Genomic DNA, 24,055 nt, shown 5'->3' on the forward strand with positions numbered 1-24,055 from the left:
GTGGTCTATAGTTTTCTTTACTTGCCTGAGGGTGTTTTGATTTGATGTTTTTGGTTCAAGTTGTGTTAATATTTTCTTTTAAGCAACGTTCAGAGTTATAGAGGGCAATAAAAGCTCATGTGCATCTGCTGAGATGCTAAATCCTAGCTCTGGTGCCCAGTTGACTCACACATTCAATAACAATTTATCGTGAATCCAGACCTCTGTTCTAGGTTTGGGAGTGTATAAGTGAATAATGCAAGGTTTCTGTTCTCTAGGATCTTAATGAACAACTGTAAAACAAACAATAAGCTAATATATGTTATGTCAAGGCCAATAAGTGATTCAAAACAAAGCACATGGTAAGAGAAAAGAAGGAGCTGGAGGGAGATTTTAGATAGGATCAGCAGAGAAATCTTAATGAAGTGACATGTGAGTAGAGACCTCTGTGAAGTAAGGACGTGAGTCATGTGGACATCTGGGAAAAGAGTTCTCCAGACAGAGGAAGTGGTAAGTGCAAAATAGGAGGCAGAAGCATACTTGATATGTTTAAAGATTACAAAGGAGGCCAGGAGGGATGGAACAGCATAAGTAAATAGTCATCAATTAGAATTTTGTCTAGCTGCACACAACAGGAAACACATTTATAGTGGCTTAATCAGATAAGGGTTTTAATTGTCATCATATAAAAGAGACTGGTGTGAAAGCTCCATGACACCATCAGGAACACAGATTCTATCTTTTCTCTCTACCATTTGGAGCATAAGCCTTCATGCATGTGTTCGGGATAGCTGGTCCACTCCAATTGTCCCTTCTATCTTTCAGGCAAGAAGAAGGCAAAGGATGAAAATCAAAGGCCACATGTCAGCAAAATAATTCCTTTGATGGTATTTTTTCCCCCTTCTGGGAAGTTATCCAGAAACATCTGCTTACTGGCTTCACCTGTATCACAAAAATGCCCCTAGCTGCCAATAAGGCTATGTGTGGCAAGGTGACCAGTGGGTTTTATAGCTGGGCAAATGACCTATCCCTCTAACTTTGAGATTCTTTCAGTAGGAAAAAAAAGAGGGAATAGATACACTTGTATGTGGAATCTGAAAAAAGAAGCAAAGAAGCAGAGAGTATAATGGTGGCTTCCAGGGACGGGGGAAGTGATAAACTAGAGTGATGTTGGTCAAAGGGTACACAATTTCAGTTAGACAGAATGAATGAGTTCAAGATATCTATTGTACAATGTGGTGACTCTTGTTAATAATACATTATGTGCTTGAAAATTGCTAAAAGAATAGATTTTAAGTGCTCTCACCACAAATAAATGATAATTCTGTGAAGTAATATGTGTGGTAAATAGCTTGATTTAGCCATTTCACAATATATATATATATTAAAACATGTGTTACATAAATATATACAATTTGCATTTTTCAACTAAAAATAAGTTTAAAAAAGAAATAACAAAGAAAAATAGACCAGGAATATGAAATAATTACTAATACAATAAAAAACACAAATTAACAAAAAAAATAGCATAAGTGCTAGATAATGTAGGGGCTTTTAACTGAGGACTAGATCTTTGGGCTTTGGAGATTCTATGCAGAGTCGTCACATAATATGACTCATTTTTTTTTAGCTTGGGTTGACCTAGAAGCTGAGCCTTATACAAAGATTTATATGAAATAAGTTTATTTGGGAAGTAAGCACAAGTATGGAGATGAGAGAGTAAAACAGAAAAGGAAGGAAATCCTCATAGCTATGACTGAAATCAAGGTTGATACCATGAGGGTATGCAGCAATGTATAAGAAGTGCTCAGCATAGTCCATCCTTGGCCCATTTAGATCATGCCCCCTGTTAAGGACAATCCTTCACAGAGCTTTCAAGGTGGTGCCAGTCAATATCTACAAAAGACAATGTAAAATAGCTAAGGGAGCTAGCTACAGTTTCTTTAGTTACAACTGCTTCAAGATTTAAAGTGATATTCATCATCTCCCTGCTTAACCATCTATTCTGGATTTTCCTAACCCATGTATAGCACTTCAGCTGGTCTAGGCTGTTTATCCGGGGGGTTAAGCCAGATCTTCATCTCAAGGGAAGATGAATCTTTAATTGCCTTTCTCTATTTGAACTTTGAATACTACAATTGCTTTTTTGTCTTTATTTCTGATCATAAAAGCAGCAAGAGACATCCAATTGAATACTCTGAGTTTGAGATGTGATCTTTCCAGCCCTAATTGTGTAGCAGCAGTGCTATCTTTTCATGCTAATTAAGGTTTATTAACTTTGCCATTATAGTAACTCCTTTCTTATCCCTTTTTTGCTTGCTGATCAACTGGCATGAGGCACCCAGAGTGACAGGGTGCCATAGCCTTAAATTTAATAGAATCATTAATCTGTCCCCAAGCTGAAAGCATTTCTCACTGGGAATCCAGCCCTTTAATGCAGCAGAGCCTGTTTGTGGAGGAAGGAAGCACATATTCTTCAAGAATGTCACTTGTGTGATGATGTTAATGGGGGTAAATCTTATGCCTCTTCATTCCTAAACCTACAAATTCTAAATGCTGGGGACACATTCCCTTACCTGGTTCAATGCACACACTGTATTCTGAAAGACATCATCTCAAACCCACAGGGTATTGTCTCTGGGCTGGCATTTTAGCCAAGGACTTTTTGAAAATTATTTTTACTTTTTATGGATACCTAATAGTTATGCATATTTACAGGGTACATGTGATATTTTGATACAAGCATACAATGTATAGTGATCAAATCAAGGTAATTGAGATATATATCACCTCAAGTATTTATCATTTCTTTGTATTAAGAACATTGCAATTCTACTCTTTTAGTTATTTTGAAATGTAGAATAAATTATTGTTAACTATAGTCACCCTATCCTTTAAACCCCCCTCCCCTCTACACATCCCAGCCTCTGGCACTCGTCATTATACCCTCTATCTCCATGAGTTCAGTTGTTGTTGTTTAGTTCCCACATTTAAGTGAGACCATGGGAAATTTATCTTTCTGTTGGGGCAGCCACCTTTGGGCAGATACCTTGAACAGACACTCATTGTTGTTCCTCTTTTGCTGTGAAATCAGCCCCTTAGTCTGATGCAATGTTGTGCAAGTTTCCATGCAAGTAGGCTCTAAAATGGTGGTACTGACAGAGGCAATGCAGGCAGGGAATTCAGATCAGTGTAAGTATGGAATTTGGCGAGGCTGAATTACTATTTCTCTAGGGTAGAAGTAATCTCATTTAATCAACTGGAAACTAAGTACAGTTGGCCTTCCATATATATGAATTCCACATCTGCGGATTTCATCTGTTCTGAACATGTACAGACATATTTCTTGTCATTATTCCCCAAACAAGACAGTATAACAAGTATTTATATAGCATTTACATTGTATTAGGTATTGTAATAATCTAGAGATGACTTAAAGTATATGGGAGGATGTGCATATAACCTATGCACATATCAGGACTTGAGATTTTGGTATCTGCAGCAGGTCTTGAAACCAATTCCCCATGGAAACCAAGGGACAACTGTATCTGACTAGACTCTTTAAGGGATATTGCCATTGGAATGGTGTCAGCATAGACGCTGAAAAGTTATGTAGTAGTGGAAGTGACAAGGTAACAAGGGTTGAATGAGAGCCCATACCATGGTTCAATGCATAGCTTCAATTCCTGCCAACATGGCGCTCCATTCTTAGGCCCATTGCACAAGCCCTGGGGTGGCTAGGACAGATTGGTATACATCCATCCACAGGCTTGGTCATCCTGTCTTAACGGTTATTGAGACTGTTGCCTGCAATGGATGCTGTCTGGGAAGCATCAACTTAAAATACAAAGATCTACATTTTTTACCCACTTCCATGGGCCAACCTGTGGATAATGTTTCCTTAGACTAATGTTTCCATGGAAGTCTTATAACCTCCCAACTAAGCCATTCATCAGTGCCTAAAAGTTCACGAGTATCTGTGTCTCAGGCCACTACTTCCTCTACATAAAGCACAAAAATCAATATACTGCTCTCACATCTGCCCACTGGGAGGGTTTCAGTCATGACATTCCTTTCAGGCAACCCCTGAGTTGGGCTGTAGTGTGGAGGCAGTATGTTTTTGAAGTATGTACTAACCTATTGAGCTAAGTCATCTGTGAATCTGGGTCAAGATTTTCTGTCTTTAATTGATCACAGAGAATGCCTCAGGAGGGATTGGCGTGAGTTGAATTTTCCTTGCGTTCCCCAATCTTACGACTTGTGGAATTTGACAACATCTGGTTCATAATGGGTTTCTCCAGTAGGAGTCACATGGTATTTCATGTTCAGATGCTCAGTCTTTTCTACAGCTCAGCAGCACATCAGGAATTGCTTCTCAAAATAGACATAGTTTTGTTCCAGAAGCCCAGTAGTCTGCACTGTGACCTCTATTGGGTCTTGCCAGAGAACACACACAGCATCATCACAGATAACTTTGGTACCACTTAACTCCTGGGTCATATGGCCTACATGCCAGGGTCATTTGCAGCACAGTGCTGAAGATCAAGAAGCCACTCAAAACAGCTTTCTGAGTAACCTGTTAAATGAATCAGAAAATTATGGCTAAGTCTCTAAAGTCTAAAAATACCCATAACGTAGCTCAAGTTTCTTACTGATAGAAGAGGCAAGAACTTGTCTTTAACCTTAAGTGGAATATATCAGCATATCTCACAAAATTGAACTTCTACAGACTTCACTGATGTAAGAAGCCCTGAATCTTTGTGGTATTTATTTTCTCCTCTCTGGCCTACAGGTGTTTTACTAGGACATCTGTAGTTGTTAATGCTTACTTCTTAGTGAATCAGTGTGATCTGTGGAATTTTAAACATTCTACACATTATAAAAAATCTATAGATTTCTATAGAGTCCTTTTAGAGTGCAGGTGAATTAACACAGCCCCACAGCAGGACAGTGAATATGTACTGCTGTTTGTCCCCTCCTTTCCATCATATAACAGTCAACTCTTTTTTATCTTCCTTATTGATGAGAATTGAGAAAAACGCATTTGCTGGATCATTAGCCTCAACCTACGTCCAAAAGGCTATGTGAATCTGTTTCTGAAACAGCTGCATTTGAGGCTTCCATTTGTTTAAGTTTATAGTAGTCCACTGTCATCTGCCAACATTTGGTGTTTATGGGAACTCTCTTTAAGTAAAGTGGAAAATAATAGGGAGAGAATTGTTAAAGGATAAATAATTATAGCTAGATAGCAGGAACAAGTTCTAGTGTTTTTATAGCACCATAGGGTGACTATAGTTAACAATAATACAGGATATATTTCCAAAAAGCCAGAAAAAAGGATACTGAATGCTCCCAACAAAAGAAATGATAAGCATTTGAAATGATGGATACGCTAATTACCCTAATCTGATCACTACATGTTGTGTGTATCCAAACACTGTGTAGCCCCTAAATATGTACAATTGTTATGTGTCAATTTTAAAAAGTAGAATATGATGGGGCCCATTACTTCTAAGTCTTTAATGATGACACCAATTTCTGTAATTCCTCATAGCACATGGTATTGCTTCTGATAAACTATCTATCTTGGCCAGAGTTAGGAGGACAGTTTTAGGGACTTATACTTGGTTTTCCTAAAACATTGGCTCTGATTTTATGGACCAGGAAACCAATGTGAGAATAATGCCAGCTGCTAAGTACATACATCTCAAATGTACACTCAGACACGTCCATGATCCCATTGAACCCACTATGAAATGAACTTGGGCTAGAACTTCATTTGTCATGTGTTATGCTCAAGCCATAACCATTCTAAATACAGGTTCATAGTAGTGTGTGGTTTTCCTAGTATAAATGGCAACTCAGATCCTATATCATCTTGTCCTTTATAGGTCTTGGGATTTTCCTTTCCACAGTGCAGTTATCCTGGTAAATCACATTAACACCCCTTTTAGGAAGGAATGGGGAAGCCCACTGAATTTCCTCAATGGGGCTCAACCCACACTTGATTAATGGACTTTGAGTCTGTGAACCGGTTTACTTCTGGACTAAGAAAATGCAAGAGATTTCCCATAATAGCAGTCGATTTTAGCCTTCTGATTGTCAGCTCTTGATTTTTTTCTGATTCTAAAAATGAAAGATAGAAACCCTATTTCATTGTTCATCTGTCTTACCCCTAGGAACATCATAATATATAATTAATGACCAGCAATTGCTGTGGGTCTAGGCCCTGGTTGCCATCCTGGGTTGTTGCCCCTTACAGTCATTAAATCTACCTTGCATTTGATGACCAAATACTACTACGTGGACTCTACCATCCCAGATTCCTGTCGTTCTTATTGAAAACGGGCAGCCAAGTTTCAGTGTAGAATCCTGGCCAGGTTCCAATATAGAATCTTCTACTGTTAATTTCAGCCTGCAAGGACTGCTACTTCTCATCTTATCAGAGATGCTAGTACCTCTCTTAACATTCAGTTCCTTATTACTGTAGTGAATTGAGTATCCTCTAGGTGCTCCCAGGATGAATTTTTAGGTTTCACGTAATAAATCCCCTCTAGCATTTTCACCTCCAATGAGTTTCATGACTTTTACTTCAGTACTATTCCATGTAGTTTCAGAATTTTAACTTCACCACTGCAGCCATCCATGCTTCTGGTATTCTTAGAATATTAAATCCTTAGTCATTGGAAAGCCCTCTTATGTCAGTGAATCCCCCTCTCATTCAGTCTTCAAGATGTTCAAGATCTACTCTACAATATGCTGATTTATCCATTAACAACTTTCAGAATTGAAAGTGGGGATATTTAATATCCATTGTCTTCAGTTCCTAGTCTTGGTGAAATTTCAGGATAACAGGAATGTCCTTAATAACTTTATACATTTTTTTGTTTCCTTGCCAAGCAGAGGTCCATATTTGCAGTTTTTCCACAATTCAGCCAACCAGGGACAGTTTCCTGGTCACTGGCCAACTAGGAATATCTGTCTCCAGCACAATATTCCCAATGAGATGTCTGTGTATGAGAACAATACTACTGTTTATGCGAAACACAGAAGTAAAATGGTGCAGCAATGATGGCTGCTCCATTACTCTTCCAATAAGTGGCAAAATGAAGAGAGTGCTGGATTTGCTACTAGCTCATGTCTAAGTAGAAGGTGAGGGAAATAGGAAGTCACAACCTTGAATCCATCAGAAATGGGGTCAAGAAAACCAAAGGATTTTTTGTTGGCAGAGAAAGCAATCATGATCCCTTACAGGCTGGACTACATGTGAGCAAAGCAAAGGATCATTCAGTGATCAATGTGCTGACAGTCAAGGTTCCTGGTAGGGTGAGGGATAGCAGGTTCTCAGATGAATAATAGGCTCTCATGGTATCTTATAAAATGAGCTTCTGTCTCCCTTTGGTAATCGTTTATTGTGGGGTACTTGAGTATTCCCCACCAGCTGAAAAGGCAAGTATGGTTACATTATGGTAAAAAGGTGAAGCTGAAATCCCAGTTTTTCTTATTACAATGTTTATATTTTTATAATTCTGTTAACGCTACTATCCGCTTCTCAGATCCTGGTTGTGGTAAGAAGTATAATGCCCTCTGCAAAGATGTGCAAATCTTAATGCCTGAAATCTGTGGAAATGTGATCTTATATGGCTAAATGGACTTTGCAGATATATTAAGGATCTTGAAGTGGAGAGATTATCCTCAATTATCTAGTTGGGCCCAGCATAGTCACGAGAGTTCTTGTAAGAGAGAACAGAAGGTGAGAGTCAGAAAAGGAGATGTGATGATGGAGGCAGAGGTCAAAATGAAGGAGAGATTTGGAGATGGTCGGCTGCTGACTTGTAAGACAGAGGAAGGGGCCATGAGCCCAGAAATGAATGTAGGTGGCTTCTAGAAGCTGGAAAGGGCAATGAAAAGGATTCTTCTGTAAAACTGGAAGGAAGGTAGCTGTGCTGACACCTTAGTATTAGCCCAGTGAGACTGATTTAGAATATTTGACTTCCAAGACTATAAGATAACAAATATGTATTGTTTTAAGCCATCAAATTTGTGGTACTTGTTATTACAGCAATAGAAAATTATTTCAACAGTCAATGCCAACAGTCAATATTTGACCTCCAGGACTATGAGATAATAAATATGTATTGTTTTATGCCATCAAATTTGTGGTACTTATTATCACAGCAATAGAAAACTATTACAATAGTCAGTGCCTGCTTACTGTTACTGGACTTCCCCATTTCCCTTCTCAGGCTTTCATGAAATATAGAATCAGGCATACTTCAACTAAATATTTATTCCCAGATATCATTTCTTACTGGAAACACTTCTTCTCCACCCTGATGAATTTACTGAACAATTAGATATCTGAAGGTTTCCTTCACCATTTTTGCCTGTGCTGAAACTATGTCTGTGGAGTTAGCTCTCAGCTTTCTCTTATCTGAGCCTGACCCAATCCTATCGTCTCAGTTTTCTAGAGTCAAAGATACTATCAATGCAGAAGACAACCCATGTAAAAATAAGAAAGAGAGGAATAAAAATTCTCTAGTGCCAAAGGTCACCAGGAGCTCCAAATCCTGTGGTCAGGATCCTGTAAGGGTCAGGGCAGGGTTCAGAAGGTTTTTGCATTTTCAGCATTTAATCTTCCTGCTGAAAAAAATCTACAGCCAAGAGGTCTCCTGGAAGGAAATATTTTCTATTCCATTCCATGCCATGCCATGCCATTCCATTCCATTCCGTTCCATTCTTTTATTCTGTTCTTAGGAATATAATCTTTTCATTCCTTCTACCAAAAGTTGACCTCTTAGCCCTGTGCTCTCCTGTTGCTATCCTCTGAGAAACAGGAAAGTGGTATCAGGATACCTCCCCCTCTATCCTACTTTCACTGCGGACAGGCACCATGTTATTCATTGTTGTGCTTTCAGTACTGGCAAAAAAGAGAGTCATTAAAAACATGTTGACAGTGTCCACAATTCCACTTTTGCAAATGTATTTCCTGGTGCCCTGAAGTCTTATAAATCCTCAGAGCATCCTGTTAGAATGCAAATACTCTTGAGAGATGAGTCTGTAGCTCTTATTCACTAACCCCTTAAAGAAAACTAATTGTTCACTAAACTCAAGGTCTAGTTTGGAGATAGAACAATAGAATTATTAAGCATCTTCTGCATTTCACATGCATGACTTATATTATCTCATTTAAACCTTACAACAACCCCCCCACAGAATCATTCTCTCCATTTACAGATAAAGAAAGTGAAGCTCACAGTCACACAGCAAACAGAGAAGCCTGTGTTTTTTCTGTCCCACCACAATGAGGAGGAGGAGTATATTTTGAAGAGTGGGGTGTGACACATATACTCACCCTTCCTCTTGCCAGATAAAAGTAGGTCAACTAAGAATATCTTGGGAAAGCAATTCCATATGAAAGTTTCCTTGGGATTTGGCATTATCACAAGAATGACATTTTACTAGAAGTAAGAGTAAGATCTGAACCAATACTGAAGACAATTATACTTTTAGGTCATAAAGCCAGCTCTGAGCATTTTACTCCAGCTCCTTCCTTGGTAACTCACTGAATATAGCTATTTCAAATGATGTGTCTTGCTCTCATTGATCTCTTAGAGAAGAAAAGGTTTAGTGTGTTCTTACATGATGATATTCTCTTTATCAGAGACTAAGAGTTTGTGGGTCCATGGATAGTGCAGCACATTTGGCAGACCTCATTTTTCTTCTTTCTTTCTTGTTTTTCCTGCTTTTTATTTTATTTCAATACAATTTAGTATTTCAGGGAGTTCCCTAAACTCTTCCAGCAAGTCATCTGGAATATTTCTAGTGTCCTTCTGTAACCTGTTTCAGTTTTGCATTTTATATTTGTGATTTTTAACCTAGAAGGGTTTGAACAATGCTCTTTGATTTAGGAAGAAGAGTGATTAATATTTGTCAGTTAAGTTGGGCTTGAGAGACAATAGATATTAGTGTTAAAATTGCTTTTTTATCAAAGGTACAAATACTGATAAAGCACTTGATGAATTATGAAGGTTCTAGGAAAAGATAGAGACATTATAGAAATTGCTTTGATGGAAAGAAAGCTGCCTTTTAAACGATCCCTGACAATAGAAAAATTATGGTCCATTTGAATTGCCTGCACAGAAGATTAGATTTTAATTGACATCACTGCTTCAGATTCAAAATTTGTTGCTATTAATCGAGAATTTTGATTTTTCACAAAAATTTGTATCAGTAAAAAACAGCACTGTAAAAGAGCATTGTAGAAGATGCATGTTTTATTCTTTTTTTCTGGGAAAGTATTTTAATGGTAAAGAGAGAACCAGTTAATCATATCTGACATTCAAAACATTAAAAATTATTCAGCAGTTTTACTCATCTAGTTCTTGCTTTGTTAGAGGACTTACAATGTAAATATATGTCTAACATAAAATGCTAATATATATTTAAATACAAGACTGAACAAAGTCATAGCAAATATAGTCAATGGGTTATTGCTTTTTAATCCATAAAATGATTAAATTGCTGTCATTACTAGGTTACTATCAAATTTAAGGGTTAACAATTAACATTTACTCTCCTAACTTGTTTTTAAAAAGTCTAAAAAAGGAAAATCTCTAGAGTTGTAGAAAAATTAATTACCTGACATTTTTAATATTGAAATTCTGTGGTCTTTGCTGTTCATGCCATGTTTTGGAATAGAGAGGTACTATAAGAACTGCAGGAGAAGAGACCTGGCAATTGTGTATAAAATGGATTTAGAGGTCATTTAGGAAGTTTTAGAGTTTTCCAGGGCAGAAATCACGAGGACCATGGTTGTAGCCAGCAGTGAAATGTAAAAGAGATAGATAGGCGCAGTGCTCTGGAGTTAGAACCATAGATGGTTCGGTTGGAAATGATTGAGCAGGAAGTGTTAAAGATAAATTCCACTCTTTTCGGGAAGCCAGAACGATATAGTATCTAAGAACCTAGACTTCGAAGTGAGACTAGTGTATGCTGGATAACCTCTTGAGGTTTCAGCTCTGCAACTGTAAAATGGGGATAATAATATTCCTTAAAGGATGGAAGGAAGTTATGGCTGCAAAATGCTCGGCACAGTGTCTGGCAACTCCTTACTATTTATTGTCTCAAAAGGATATTGTCAATATTAGTCACCACATAATAAAAGAAACATGATCCTTATTTATCAAATTTGTTTCATGAGCTCACTGATAAGTAATTCTTTTCGATAAAATACAACAGGCCATCTGCCGTCTGAACTATTAGGGTCATACTTTAATATTTTAATTTCCAGTATTGTTTATAATTCTAGATTAATTGAAATCCCTTCATGAGACTCTTCTCTATGAAGCAGAATTATGGGTGAAGGTAGTGTGTAAGAGTCTTATTGTAAGGGCTTTTAGATTTCCTTTTTAGGTGATTTAACATAATAAGTAGTTCAAAGGAGAAACTATGAAGACTCAGCACTGCCAAGTTCCAGAGGTCTTAACTGCCATTTCTATCAGAGCTGCTGCCTTCAAAACAGAGTCAGCGGGGATTTAATGGATTCCATTCCAAGAGTAAACTCATAGTCTGTCTCCAAGGGCTGCCTTCACATCTTTAGTGTACCAAGTTATTTTACTCAACAAGCACTCTATGAAAGTCAGAAACCTTTAAAATAATGTTGGTTTGGGTTCAACTGCAGTAAAGTAGTTACGTTGATGGGTGGTAAACCATTTTTTTTTTTTTTTGCCGAAGTGAAAGGGGTAATATTTATAAAAGTCACACCAAACTCCTCTTCAAATTCAAAACAAGCAGAGACAAATAGTTACCATAAGTGCCAGAGATAAAACGAAACTTTAGGGAAGCTGTGGTTCATTTTATAGATCAAGAAAACAAAGCTCAGTGATGACACAGATAATTAGTACCGCGATCCTCAACTCATGATCCTAGATACGTGAACTATGCTACAGAGCATCATGGGCAAGCCTTTAGAAAAATATGAGGAAAGAAAAAACTCACATAAATATTGTCATTATATACATTTGGATGAGGTCATAAATGGAAAAGGTGTTTTAAAAATATATCATCCTAAGCAGATGTTTGTGATTGCATTATTATCTGACACTCACTTTTTCCTGGGACTATAATCCATGAGCGTGAGTCTCTGGAGTAACCTGTATACACAGTAGTTTACTCTCTCTTCTCATGTCTTATAATATTGTATAAGAAATTAGCACCTCAAGGTTGTTGAATGTGTGTGTGTGTACAATTGCAAACAAATGATGCTTTATTTCCCTTTGAACTTTTGTAGCTAGAAAAGAAATGCCTAGATAGCAAAATGCTTTCAGCAAAATTTTCATGACCTAAATGTGTTATTATTCATTCTGTGGCAAGATAAATCAAGACAGAGAGATTATTTGGCTACATAAATTTACCTTATATCTTATTATTTTGCTTGAAGGCAGGAAATAGAAGGGTCTATGTTCTAAAGGAAGCTATTGATAAGCCAAAGATGGAGATGGTAGAAAAGAAAATAAGGCTTTTGCTCTATTCCAGAAAGAGTGAGACTGACATTTTCATTTTTGAAAATATTGCTACAAAGACTATTAGAGAGATTGTTGTCGCGTATGGATGTCTTTCAAAGCAATATAAAGGAGGAGAGTTCCATCAAACAGCTCATCTTTAGGTTAAGGGTTATTATTTAAGTTGTGTGTTATTTAATTTGTTATTTCACAAAACAAATTCCTTTTTGGTGAGAAATTATGCTTTAAAATATAACATCCAAATTACTTGTTTTTGTAATTGTATCTATTTCCCATCTCAGAATTAGTCCCGTGAATTGGGAACACCACTGTACTAGGAGTCAGCAATAGAGGGATCTAATGGCAATTCCTGCACTTACTGGCTATAAACCCCTGGGCAAATCCCTGCTACTCTCAGAGGCTTGCTAGCTTCATATGTAAAATGAGGATGACAGTCTCACTCACTTTACCCATGACAGAGGGCTCCAGGTCATTTAACTTTTGTTATTGAATGTCTACCTAGTATCAAGTCCTGTGATAGTATACTAATATAGCTTACATGTGTGAAACCATTTAGAGAGTTTGAAGATTCCAGGTATGAGGAATCATTATGCCAAGTTGTTGAGAAAAAAGATGAACTAAATATTACTCAAGTATTTGAAGATATAATGTCAGAAGAATTTGAAAATTTTATTTAATAAAAATATATACACATGCACTTTAAAACAAGGCCTTTGGAGAGTGAATTCATCCTTAATCAATACATCAAATCTTTTTCCATTGACCCATTCAGATACCAGCTCTAGAATTTTTCCCTCCTCTGTGAGTCTCTTTCTCCCAGACATGAAATATCCTGTTCTGACATACACGCAGCAGTGCCTTAGGAAAAAAAAATAAATGAAGCTTCTTTCTAAAATGAAACAATCACACCCCAACGGGAACTTAGGAGCAAGGAATTAAGTCTGGATTGATAGTTTTTTGTCTGGTCTTTAGTAGCCCCATAGGTGAACCCCGCACTATGATTGCAACACATTTGTAGGCAGCTTATGATGTTACAATCAGTCACTCAGTTATTCTCTAATAGTTCCTTCTAACTTGACTATACAATCAATTATTTATTGAATTACTATTAAAGACACAGGGTAACGTATACTTACATTAGATAAAAGATTATTTAGGGAAGGAAGCAACAGGCAGTAGCAGACAAATGAGTAATAGACTATGGGGACAAGCCATGAGTAAAAGAAGAGATGAAAAACATATGGGAATCTGAGATGTGGAAAGTGAGGAAGCATGAGAGAGAAAGGGCAGGGCTGGCAGGTGTTGAGCAATCAAGTGCTAAGGAGGTCAGTTAGGACAATGACTCGGGCAAGAAAGAAGGCAGAGGGCTAGGAGTGGGAAGGTGCTGAGTCAAAGTGGAGAAAAGTGCTTCAGCCAAGGCATCTGATAAGGATGTCTCTGAACGGAAGTACCTAGGCTAAGAATGCAGATGTGTCTATGAGGATGGCTGGTTGGAGGTAGGGGGGAAAGGCAGGTCGGAGACTGAGTCTTTAACTGCAACTCCCTCCAGAAAACTCTAATTCATTGGTTGTGCACCAGGACTGGTGTGATGAGAGCAGCCTCTGGCTAGGAGGCCTGCCAGGCAAAGCCTAGTAATTGTCTATGGCCAGGCCTTTAAGATCACATGCAGGATTTTAGGCTAGAACCAGACCCCTCTGTGTTGAGGATGGTAGTATGAGGAAAATGACGGCAAAGACTTTCTCCAACCAGAGTGGAAATAAGTTGGGAGAGCTGGGGCAAGGTGAGATTGCAATCATTCAGATTCATGGGAGACTTTTAGATGGATGAGGAAGGCAGGGCCCTGAATTCCATTGCAGGTTGGGTAGACTTGGGCACAGCACTTCCATCTCTCTGAGAAGTCTGTTTCTTCATCTTCAAAACAGGATGTTACTGCCTATGGGTTTGGGTTAAGTGAGGAGATATTGAGAAAATGCTCACAGTTCATATCAAGGCTATGTCCACTGGTTGGGTTCAAGACATCAGCATAAAACTCATCCTGAAGGAGGAGCCAGTGCCTTAAGCCAGACCCAATGAGAGAGCTGTGATAGGTTGAATAATGGCTCCCAAAGGCCCATGTCTTAATCCCTGGAAACTGCGAGTGTGATTTTGTATGGCAAAAGGGGCTTTGTGGACATGATTAAGTATCTTAAAATGGGAGATTATCCTGGTTTTTGAGGTGGTCCTACATATAATCACAAGGGTCCTTACAAGAGGTAGGCAGAGGGAGGCGGTATCAGATGAGAGAAAGGCGCAGTGATGACAGAGACAGACGTTGGCATAGCACAGTCACAAGCCAGGGGATATTGACAGCCTTTGAAGCTGGAATGGCCATGCCATGGGTTCTCCCCTAGAGCCTCCAGAAGGAGCCAGCCCTGCTGACCCATTGATTTTAGCCCAGTGAAGCCCAGTTCAGGCTCCTGATGTCTAGAACAATCATAATAAATTTGTGTTGTCTTAAGTTGCTAAATTAGTGGTAATTTTTGAGAGTGGCAACAGGAAACTAATACAAGAACCTCAGTTATCAGTTGAATGTACACACCTGTGGAGAGCTTGGCTTTAGACAATCGACTTTGTCTCTTAGCCCTGTTCTCCCTGAACCCGCATCTGATTAATGCACTTTTCAACTGAGTGATGGAGGGACATAAAGGGGTAGTTTTTTGCTGGAGAAGCCAAGAAGGTGCAGGGCAATAGAAAGAGAAGTTTCACAGCCAGGGAAACAGGAATAATCTGGTTTGCAGGTACATGGGAAACATACCTTAGAATCCTGCCTTGGTATGAGATAGTGGCCCAGCAACATTTGAATTCATTCTATTAAAGTGGCTTTGTGATACTCCCTCAGTGATGTGGCCTAAGAAATTTGTTATGTATTCTTATAGATTTTTAAATAAAATTAGTGGCCTGAAACCTAGATTTTTCATCTCCTCTCCTAACTTTCCTTTTTGATGTCGTTACCTTTGACAAACATTTTGGAGCCAACACTGTTTTATGTCTATGTAAGTATCTCAGGCCCTGAGGTCTCTGCATACAGAAAACAGCTTTTGGTGCAGTGGTTAGCTTTGCATTAGCTAAAGGCCACCAGTTTGACCCTACGTCCACATTGTTTCGCTGAAGCAGTGAGAAGGGCAAGCATACGGAGAACCTTGCAGACCTTGGCAAATGATGAAAAGAGCTGGGGACCACGTGGATACCAAAAGTGACCACATTCACAGTTCCAACAAACCACAACCTTGATTTTTGTTGATTTGACCTCTTTCCCTTCCCTTCGTCTCTTGCCTTCTGGATGTCTTCCTTCTGCCCGTTTTCCCAGTCCATTAGCACCTCCACTGGAGGAAGAATTGCAGAGGAGAGAAAAAATGTAACTCCCATAAACCAATTTTGCTACTTGTCAGAGGCTATTGCACAAGTCTTATGAGAGATGAAAGTGAAAATTATTGACAGGAAAAGGTTTGAAATAGTTGTAGGGTTTATTTGTTCAGAGAAACTGCATTAATTGAGAACAGAAGGTCAGAGTCTTTTGTTCATTTGCAACTAGCATTTTTATTCTGAGTGGAGAATTTTGTGATTACTAAACTTACTCTATAAATGAATAGAAGGGAGAGGGAGATGAGAAAAGCTGTTTTCTGACTTCTCTGAATTCTTAGTAGAATGTGTATTTTAATTATGCCTCTTGGTACCTTTCATAGAAGTGATAGTAGATCCTTTTAGTTTGTTTTGAAATAATTTTCCATTATTTGCTTGGCACATGGTTGTACCACCATACATTAATCTTTGATTATTTTATTTTTCTCTAAGAAGACACTTTTAAATATGATTGTTTTCTTCATAATGGCTTTAAGGTCAGCTCTCCTTTCTTCTCCCTGATACTTAATTTCCCAGAGTTACAGAGTTGATAGCAGAGGCAGAACTAGATATTTGTACAACAGCATTTGAAGGGCTTATTGGCACTTCTGCAAAGACATATTTCTGGAGAATCAAATAAGAACCAATGAGAAGAAATTTTAGAGGTAGGATATGGACTTGATGCAAGAATCTTCTAATATCTAGAGCTCCTCAGCAATGTGATGGGAGGAGTGATGTCGAAAGTGTCAAAGCAAAGGTTGGTTGGCCATTTACTGTAGAGAAGATTAGTGAGCATAGTAAAGGTTAAAGCAGGAGAAAAGTCATGTTTCTTCTACCTTTGAGAGTAGGTTAGTCTAAATTTATGACCCAATATAATTAAAGTGTCACTGTATTTTGTTTTCCTCAAATAGCCAAGCTTTGATAAGCTCATATTCAACTTAAGCTATAAATGCTTTTCCAATCTGTAATGCTCTCCTTCACCCATCTATTCAAATCACATTTAGCTTCAAAGGGTCAGCTAGAGAATAACTTTTTTAGCCTTTGCTCCACTCAGTGAACTTTCTTTCCTTGATTATTGAAACATTTAATAACTACATTTCTTACTTCAGCATTTCATTACTTACCAATGCTTGTATTGTTATCTAACTTTTTCACATGTGCATATCTTATCTCAGAAAAATTGACAAGTTCTGAAAGGCATAAACAGTACAAGGCTGACTACATATTAGGTTTTTCTTTTCTTTTTTTTTTTTTTTTGAAAGTGAACTTTCCTTATGCTGTGTAGAAATGAATAACTTGAGATTTTCAGTGAATTTTTTTCTTCTGTCATTGATGAGACCTCTAAAATGCACCACCTTGTCAACTGTAAACAATCTTTATAAGGTGATTGTTTCTTTTATGGAATGTATTAGGTAGATATCTTTCTGGAGCCAGGCTGGAGAAATGCTTAACTTTCTTTAGCAACATAAGCCTTGAATATCTGTATTCTTGATCTTTTTAAAATGTCACTGTATGGCAAAATAGAATAACGACACAAGCAGCTTCATAAAAGATAGCACATAACATTGCAGGACTACAACTGTTTAAAAGTCAAACTAGAGGAATGAATTTTTTAAGACTATAATAATGAAACAGTATTATTTGACTACCAAATATTATAGCTTTGTCAGTTAAAAAATGAAAAAATCTTCAACCCTTTTCTATAAAGGTATTTTGACTTTGTTCACCTTTCTCAGATTGGTTTTTGCATAAATTTAATTGAAGACAAACTGTGGCTGCTGTTCATGAAAATATATATATGGGAATAGACAGTCATTCCTAGGGTAACTGTTAAGTAGGTAAAATTTGCCATAGGACTGCCTAAATCTTTTGCCACAAAAGTGCACTGTAAATTAAAACATCATGAATTAATGTCATTATGAATTCGTTTAGTGAACACACATCAGACAACTTATGGCATAAGTTGTGACACCAAGAGGTAATTTTTCTTTCATTTACATTATTTTAAAACTTAATACAACAATATCTGCTTTATTTAGCTCAGTGTTGTGTGTGGAATAAAAGAAAACCATAGACTTGAAAAAACTGAAGACTCTCTCAGGTGGCAAGAGCCCTCTTCTGGGGCACAGCAGGACACACTTGACTCAGAATTAGTGCCTCTTTGGAGTGAGCCTCAACCAGCCATTTGGAGTCACCTAAGCTTCCCCACCCCTGCTCCCCAGGCAAGAGAAATTCCACCTCTTTTTCAGAGGCTGTGAAGCAGAGTTGTTGGATGCATGTTTAGAACTTAGACCTGGTTTTTAAGCTGAGTGGTAGTGTTTATTTTTATTATTTTTCTTCAAGCTACAAATCACACACACACACACACACACACACACACACACACACACACACATCTCAGAATGAACAGTTTTAAAGAATGACTAAAGGAAATAGAATGAGATGAGCAAAGTAGAGGACATTTTTTCCACCTGACCATGAAGCACCCGAAAGGGAAGGAAGAAATGTCATTCCATTTTTCCAGTTTTCTGGGTTTTGGAGGTACAAGGTTTTTCTGATCCCATGTTGAAAGCTAGAGGAACTTGGGGATGGATATTTATCTTCCTCCATGTCAACTACCCATGATAAAATAGTTTCCTTTGAGGGTGAGCCTTTATGAAAGGGAACAGCATGCTATAGGAGTATTTCAAGATGATGACTTTTCCTCTCCCCCTACCAGTGGCAGGAGATGATTTTTCTCTGATTATCATAGTAAGAACCTGGTGGAACTCCTGGAGGCAAAACTCATGAAAGTTGGCACACCTCTAGAGTTTTGAACTCTCAAGTTAGTCCACATTGAGCCTTCAAAATTCATCAATTGCAGTTTAAGTTTTCATATGGTTACTGGCTCCAGGTAAGGGCTTCTCCTCATCTTCTGCTTCCAGTAAGTTGTGATTCTCTGTATCCACCTGTCTCTTCAGATTTCTGGACAGCAATTTTCCCTGTGGCCTCAATTCTCTAAGACAAGTTCCTGATTTTCAGTTTGTTCGGCTTTTTCCTTGTTGTGAGGATGGAGTGTGACTTTCAAGCTCTCTGCATGGCAGACCAGAAGCTGGAAATCCTTCTCTGTCTCTTCTATGCATTATTGTTCCCAAGGCCTTACCTCCACCAGAAGGCCAAGCAGATAACATTTAGTGCACAAGCCAAGGTGTGTTTAATGCATGATATCACAACATGACTTGTTCATTTTCATATCATGGTTTAGATTATTTAAAATGTCATACAGCCCTGGAAAGCCTATAAACGATATTGGAAACACCTGTGCCTTATGGAATTTGGACTGGCATGTTGAGGTTCTGTGGTGTGAGAACCCTTTTGAAAATCTCTGAAGGCAGATATCTTCTACAACAATCCTCATATGCATGTCCCCATCTGCAGTGTGGCTCCTCTGCTCCTTCCTTTGGGTCTGACCGTGAAGATAAGTCTCTCTGAGAGATGGAATTCCCACAGCTCCTCTGAGCAAGTTTTTGGAGCCACTAACACTGTGATGTTTCAGAAATCCTTCTTCCAGATCAAGTTAACAGAGAAAGGAAGCAAACAAACTAATAGTTTGAGAAAAAAATGTTAGTATGGGAAGTAAATTAATTCAATTTTATAACTGACACTAGGACCTTTTTTAGGTGCCTTGGATGTTTTAAGACTTTATACTTTGGTGATTTAGCTTTTCAGATCCTGTTATTTGTGATGATTGTCAAGGGTATTTCTTGATTCCTCTATTTACGGAGTAGAAACTGGAACACTTGACTTCTCTCTGGGGCTTATAGAATAGCCCCCTTCTAGAGATTCTAGTATTTCCAAGTGCCTACTTCTTGCCTTGCAATTTAGTTAACTGTGTGGTTATTCCATGCAGTAATGTTACTGTACCCTTGATATCCACAGTCTCTGTGGTTTGGGATTGACCTAGCAAAATCTGACCCCTGGACTTGGACATATCCTCACCAGGCAAAGAAATCACAGTAACTGCAAACACTTGTGGAGATTATTTCAAATTTGTTTGGGTACTCAATGTGATTTAAATTTCCAGGGGGATCAGAATTTGCCCAGTTGATATTTTGTAATATTCTCAGCATCTATAATGCTTATAAGAACTATGAGTCTGTCTAACAAGAAAGAAAGAATTTCAGGCCAGGGTAAGTGGCTTACGCCTGTAATACCAACACTTTGGGAGGCCAAGGTAGTTGGATCACCTGCGGTCAGGAGTTCAAGACCAACCTGGCCAACATGGTGAAACCCTGACTCTACTAAAAATACAAAAATTAGCCAGGTGTGGTGGCACACACCTGTAATCCCAGCTACTTAGGAGGCTGAGGCAGGAGAATCATTTGAATCCGGGAGGCGGAGGTTGCAGTGAGCCGAGATCGTGCTGCTGCACTCCAGCCTGGGTGACAGAGTGAGACTCCATCTCAAAAAAAAAAATTTTTTTTAACCAACTCACTACCCAGTAATTCAGAGAAGAACTATGAACAAGTCATTCATAAGAACAGGGCAGGGTCAAGTGAAAGTACAAAATTCAATCACCTTGGTATGTTCCTGGATTTATTTTTGTTTCCCGAAGCCCTTTATGTGAAGTGGTGGACATGAGGCAGAAAGTGTTGGTCAACTAGTTTAAAACATAAGAAGAATAGCAATTTGTGGTGACTGGCTCCTACTACGTGCCAGGTACTGTGCTAAATATTTAATGTAAAACATTTCATTCTCTTGACAATCTTATGAAAAAAGTGCTATTATATTTCCATTTTACAGATGAAGAAATTGAGGCCAGAGAAATAGAGTCCAAGTTCTTACAGCTACAAAGAGACAGAGTTCAGCTTTGAACCCAAGGACCCTAGCTCTAGGAATTTAACCAATGTACTATATCCAGAGGTAGGGCAATCTTTTATCTTCAGATTGTTACCTATTTGGTCTAATATGAGCAGCATCAAAAAGTTCACTTGCCTACATCAATCTTGTCCACTGCGAGATGACACTCATGAGATATGTATTGGCTGAGGCTTGCCTTCCTGCATGTAAAAGTGAACTCTCCTGGGGCCTGGGAGTAAAGGTAGGGATAACTTACTAAATACCTTAGTTCTGAACACCTTAGTATTTGTTATAGATTGATTTCTTTTATTGATGAGGGAATCTTAAGTGTAAAGTCAAATTTTTAGAACTGAATGTTTTCGCTCATGCACTCACCATAGTCTTGCCACTATCTGGCTGTGTAGAACTCAGGCAAGTTCCTTAAGCTCTTTGTGCTTGCATTTTCTCATGTATAAAATGGAGGTAATGATAGAACCAACTACGTAAGATTGTTGTCATGATTAAATGAGATAATACGTGAAAGGTACCTACCCAGTGCCTAGTATACAATAAGCCTTCAATACTTGTTATTAGTATCAATCACTGTTAGACCAATGAGATAAAGAGAAGGAGGTCAAATCTCATTCCCACTTGATATGTTCTTGCTCAGATTTATTTTCAGAGTGGAAACCACAAGTTCACTTAATCGCCTTCCTTTGGGACTTGCCAATTGTCTGATAATTCTCCTCAAGTTAACTATCAGGATTCACTGGTACATGATCCAAGGCCATTGCTCTTATTTTTTTCATAATGGGTGTTTGGGGATAGAAGAGGAATATTATTGGTATTTTCAACAGTTAGAATGGCATGAAACTCTCCAAAAATAAGAAGCCCAGCAGTTGGCAACATGGTGTTGTTCTTAGATTCCCAAGCTCACATCTTGTGAGCTTTGCTATTGTCATAGCCCTGGGTCTTTGCCTAGGCTGTTCCTTCTGCTTTAAAGTCTCTTGTTCCTTGAGAATTCTACACTGGTCTTGCTTGTCTACCTGTTCAACCCCTACTGCTTTATAGCAAACATTTGTCTTTATTTCTCTTCTTTTTTTTTGTGATCCAGAAGCTATTCTGTCTTCCTGCAATGGGAAATATGCCATTGTGTGACTTTTGGTAGGCTCAAGGAACCTTCTCTTTACAGAGGCAAAACCCTGGCAATGTGAGTGCTGGAATGTTGTCTAAGATGCTTTTTCCTGAGAATTTGAACCGGGAAATAAATTATAAAAATAATCAGAAGACATTCTGTGGCAACTACATGTTATACAGGGTACCGTAGTGGGTATACTACGACTCCATCAGTGGTGTGCTGGAACCAGCTGGCACAGGCTTCCCAGAGTCGATTCTTAAAATTTCCAGATTTGCATCAGTTGTTAAACATATTTATTATGAATTAATTACTAAATTACACAAACTAATAACTACATAAATTATACTGTAAAAAAGGTAAGAGATACTCAGTCATCAGTTCCTAATTCTTATGCCTTTGTGGTTATTTATGCTTGCCATATATATATGATTAACATGTATATATATATGATATATATATCATATAATCGTATATGTATGATAAATTCTATATAGTGGTGTGGTGTGTTACTGTTCATTTTTTCCCAGCTCTAATTCAGTGATATCGTATTGGCAGCTTGAAATCACCCACAGTGAAAATATTTACACCATGAACATTGGCAAATGCTACAAATAAGGGTTTTTTTTTTCTTGGAAAGCTAGTCTCTAACATTTACCAGCACACCACATCCAGTGTTTAATGGTGGTGATGCCAGGCTCACCATCTACAGTCCAGATAGCAGCAGGGTGTCCTCACCAGGCTGTTTGTCCATGGCTGTGACCATCAGACTCCCATTGTTTCTACCTCCATCCTGCGCCTGACCCTCTAGTTTTTCTAAAAGTCTGTGGACTAATCTCTATTCCTCCAATATAGACAGTCCCCAACTTATGATGGTTCGACTTAAAATTTTTCAACTTTACAATCGTGTGCAACTGTCATAATTTTGACATAATGTACAGTGTTTGACAAGTTACATGAGCTATACAACACTTTATTATAAAATAGCGTCGGGCTAGATAATTCTGCCTAACTGCAGGCTAACGTGTTATGAGCATGTGTAAGGTAGGCTAGGACAAGCTGTGATGTTCAGTAGATTATTTAGATGCATTTTTGACTTAAGACATTTTCAACTTAAGATGGGTTTATCAGGATGTAACTCCATTGTAAGTCAAATAGCATCTGTATATTCCGTTTTTGCTCAAGTTAACCCATTTCTATTTCCAAATAAGAATCATAGCAGTTTTATCATATTTTCAAAGTCTATCACAGACAGCCAACCCTGACACCCCTCACCATATGTACATATTTTCCTTTTGCTACATGTAACTGTTATTCAGGCTTCTATATTTGCACTAAGCATAGCGTTGTAATATATTTGTTTATATCTCTGTATCCTTGAAGTTAGGAACATTGTCTTATTTACCTTTATTTCTCAAGGTGCTATCACCAGGCCCAGAACAGAGAAGGTCATAAATAAATTATTTATTTACTTACAAATAGTAAAATTTACTTATAAATAAATAATTGTAACGATTAAATAGTTATTTGTAATTATTAAACAGTAATAATTGCTTACAATTTTTTGTTGATTTTCTTCATAAGGAAGCTGAGGGTTGTGTGGTGGCAGTTGTAGACACATTCCATTGCTCATGGGACCAACACTTCTGAAATGACCTCCAACATCACTGTGATTCAGGAAAGGTGAATAGGGACATGCAATTTGAATCCTCCTTTGTTTACTGTAGCTGAAGCTGCATGATTCAGAAACTACATGAAGCAAGGGACAGGAGAGGATATGGTGATGTTATCATTCAGAAACTGAAAGATAATGTCAAGTAAATCTTCTACTCAAAATAAAAATCTATGCTTAGGAAGAATAAAAGAAAAGGTCAGATTCAAAAATTAAAGAGCATGAACCAAAAAGCAAAAGCACAAAAAACAGCTGAATGGCTGACCAAAAGAAAACTATCAATGATAGGAAAAATTGAAGAAGGAGAATATACAGAAAAAAACTAGAGAATATATATAAGAACACAGCCAAAATACAAAGTATCTTTTCAATTTTGGAAGGAGTTTTGATTGTCTCCTTACTTATGGAAGATTTTATGGGCTGTACTTAAATTTAATCCAGTGCTTTCAGAATAAGGCAAGGGAATGCAGTTCTATCAGTAATATTTGTAATCTAAATTAGAGACTTTGTTACTAGCACCCTTCAAATTAATGTGGTCTGATATAGTTT

This window comes from Homo sapiens, chromosome 13 (genome assembly GCF_000001405.40).
Source record: "Homo sapiens chromosome 13, GRCh38.p14 Primary Assembly".
NCBI lineage: Eukaryota > Metazoa > Chordata > Mammalia > Primates > Hominidae > Homo > Homo sapiens.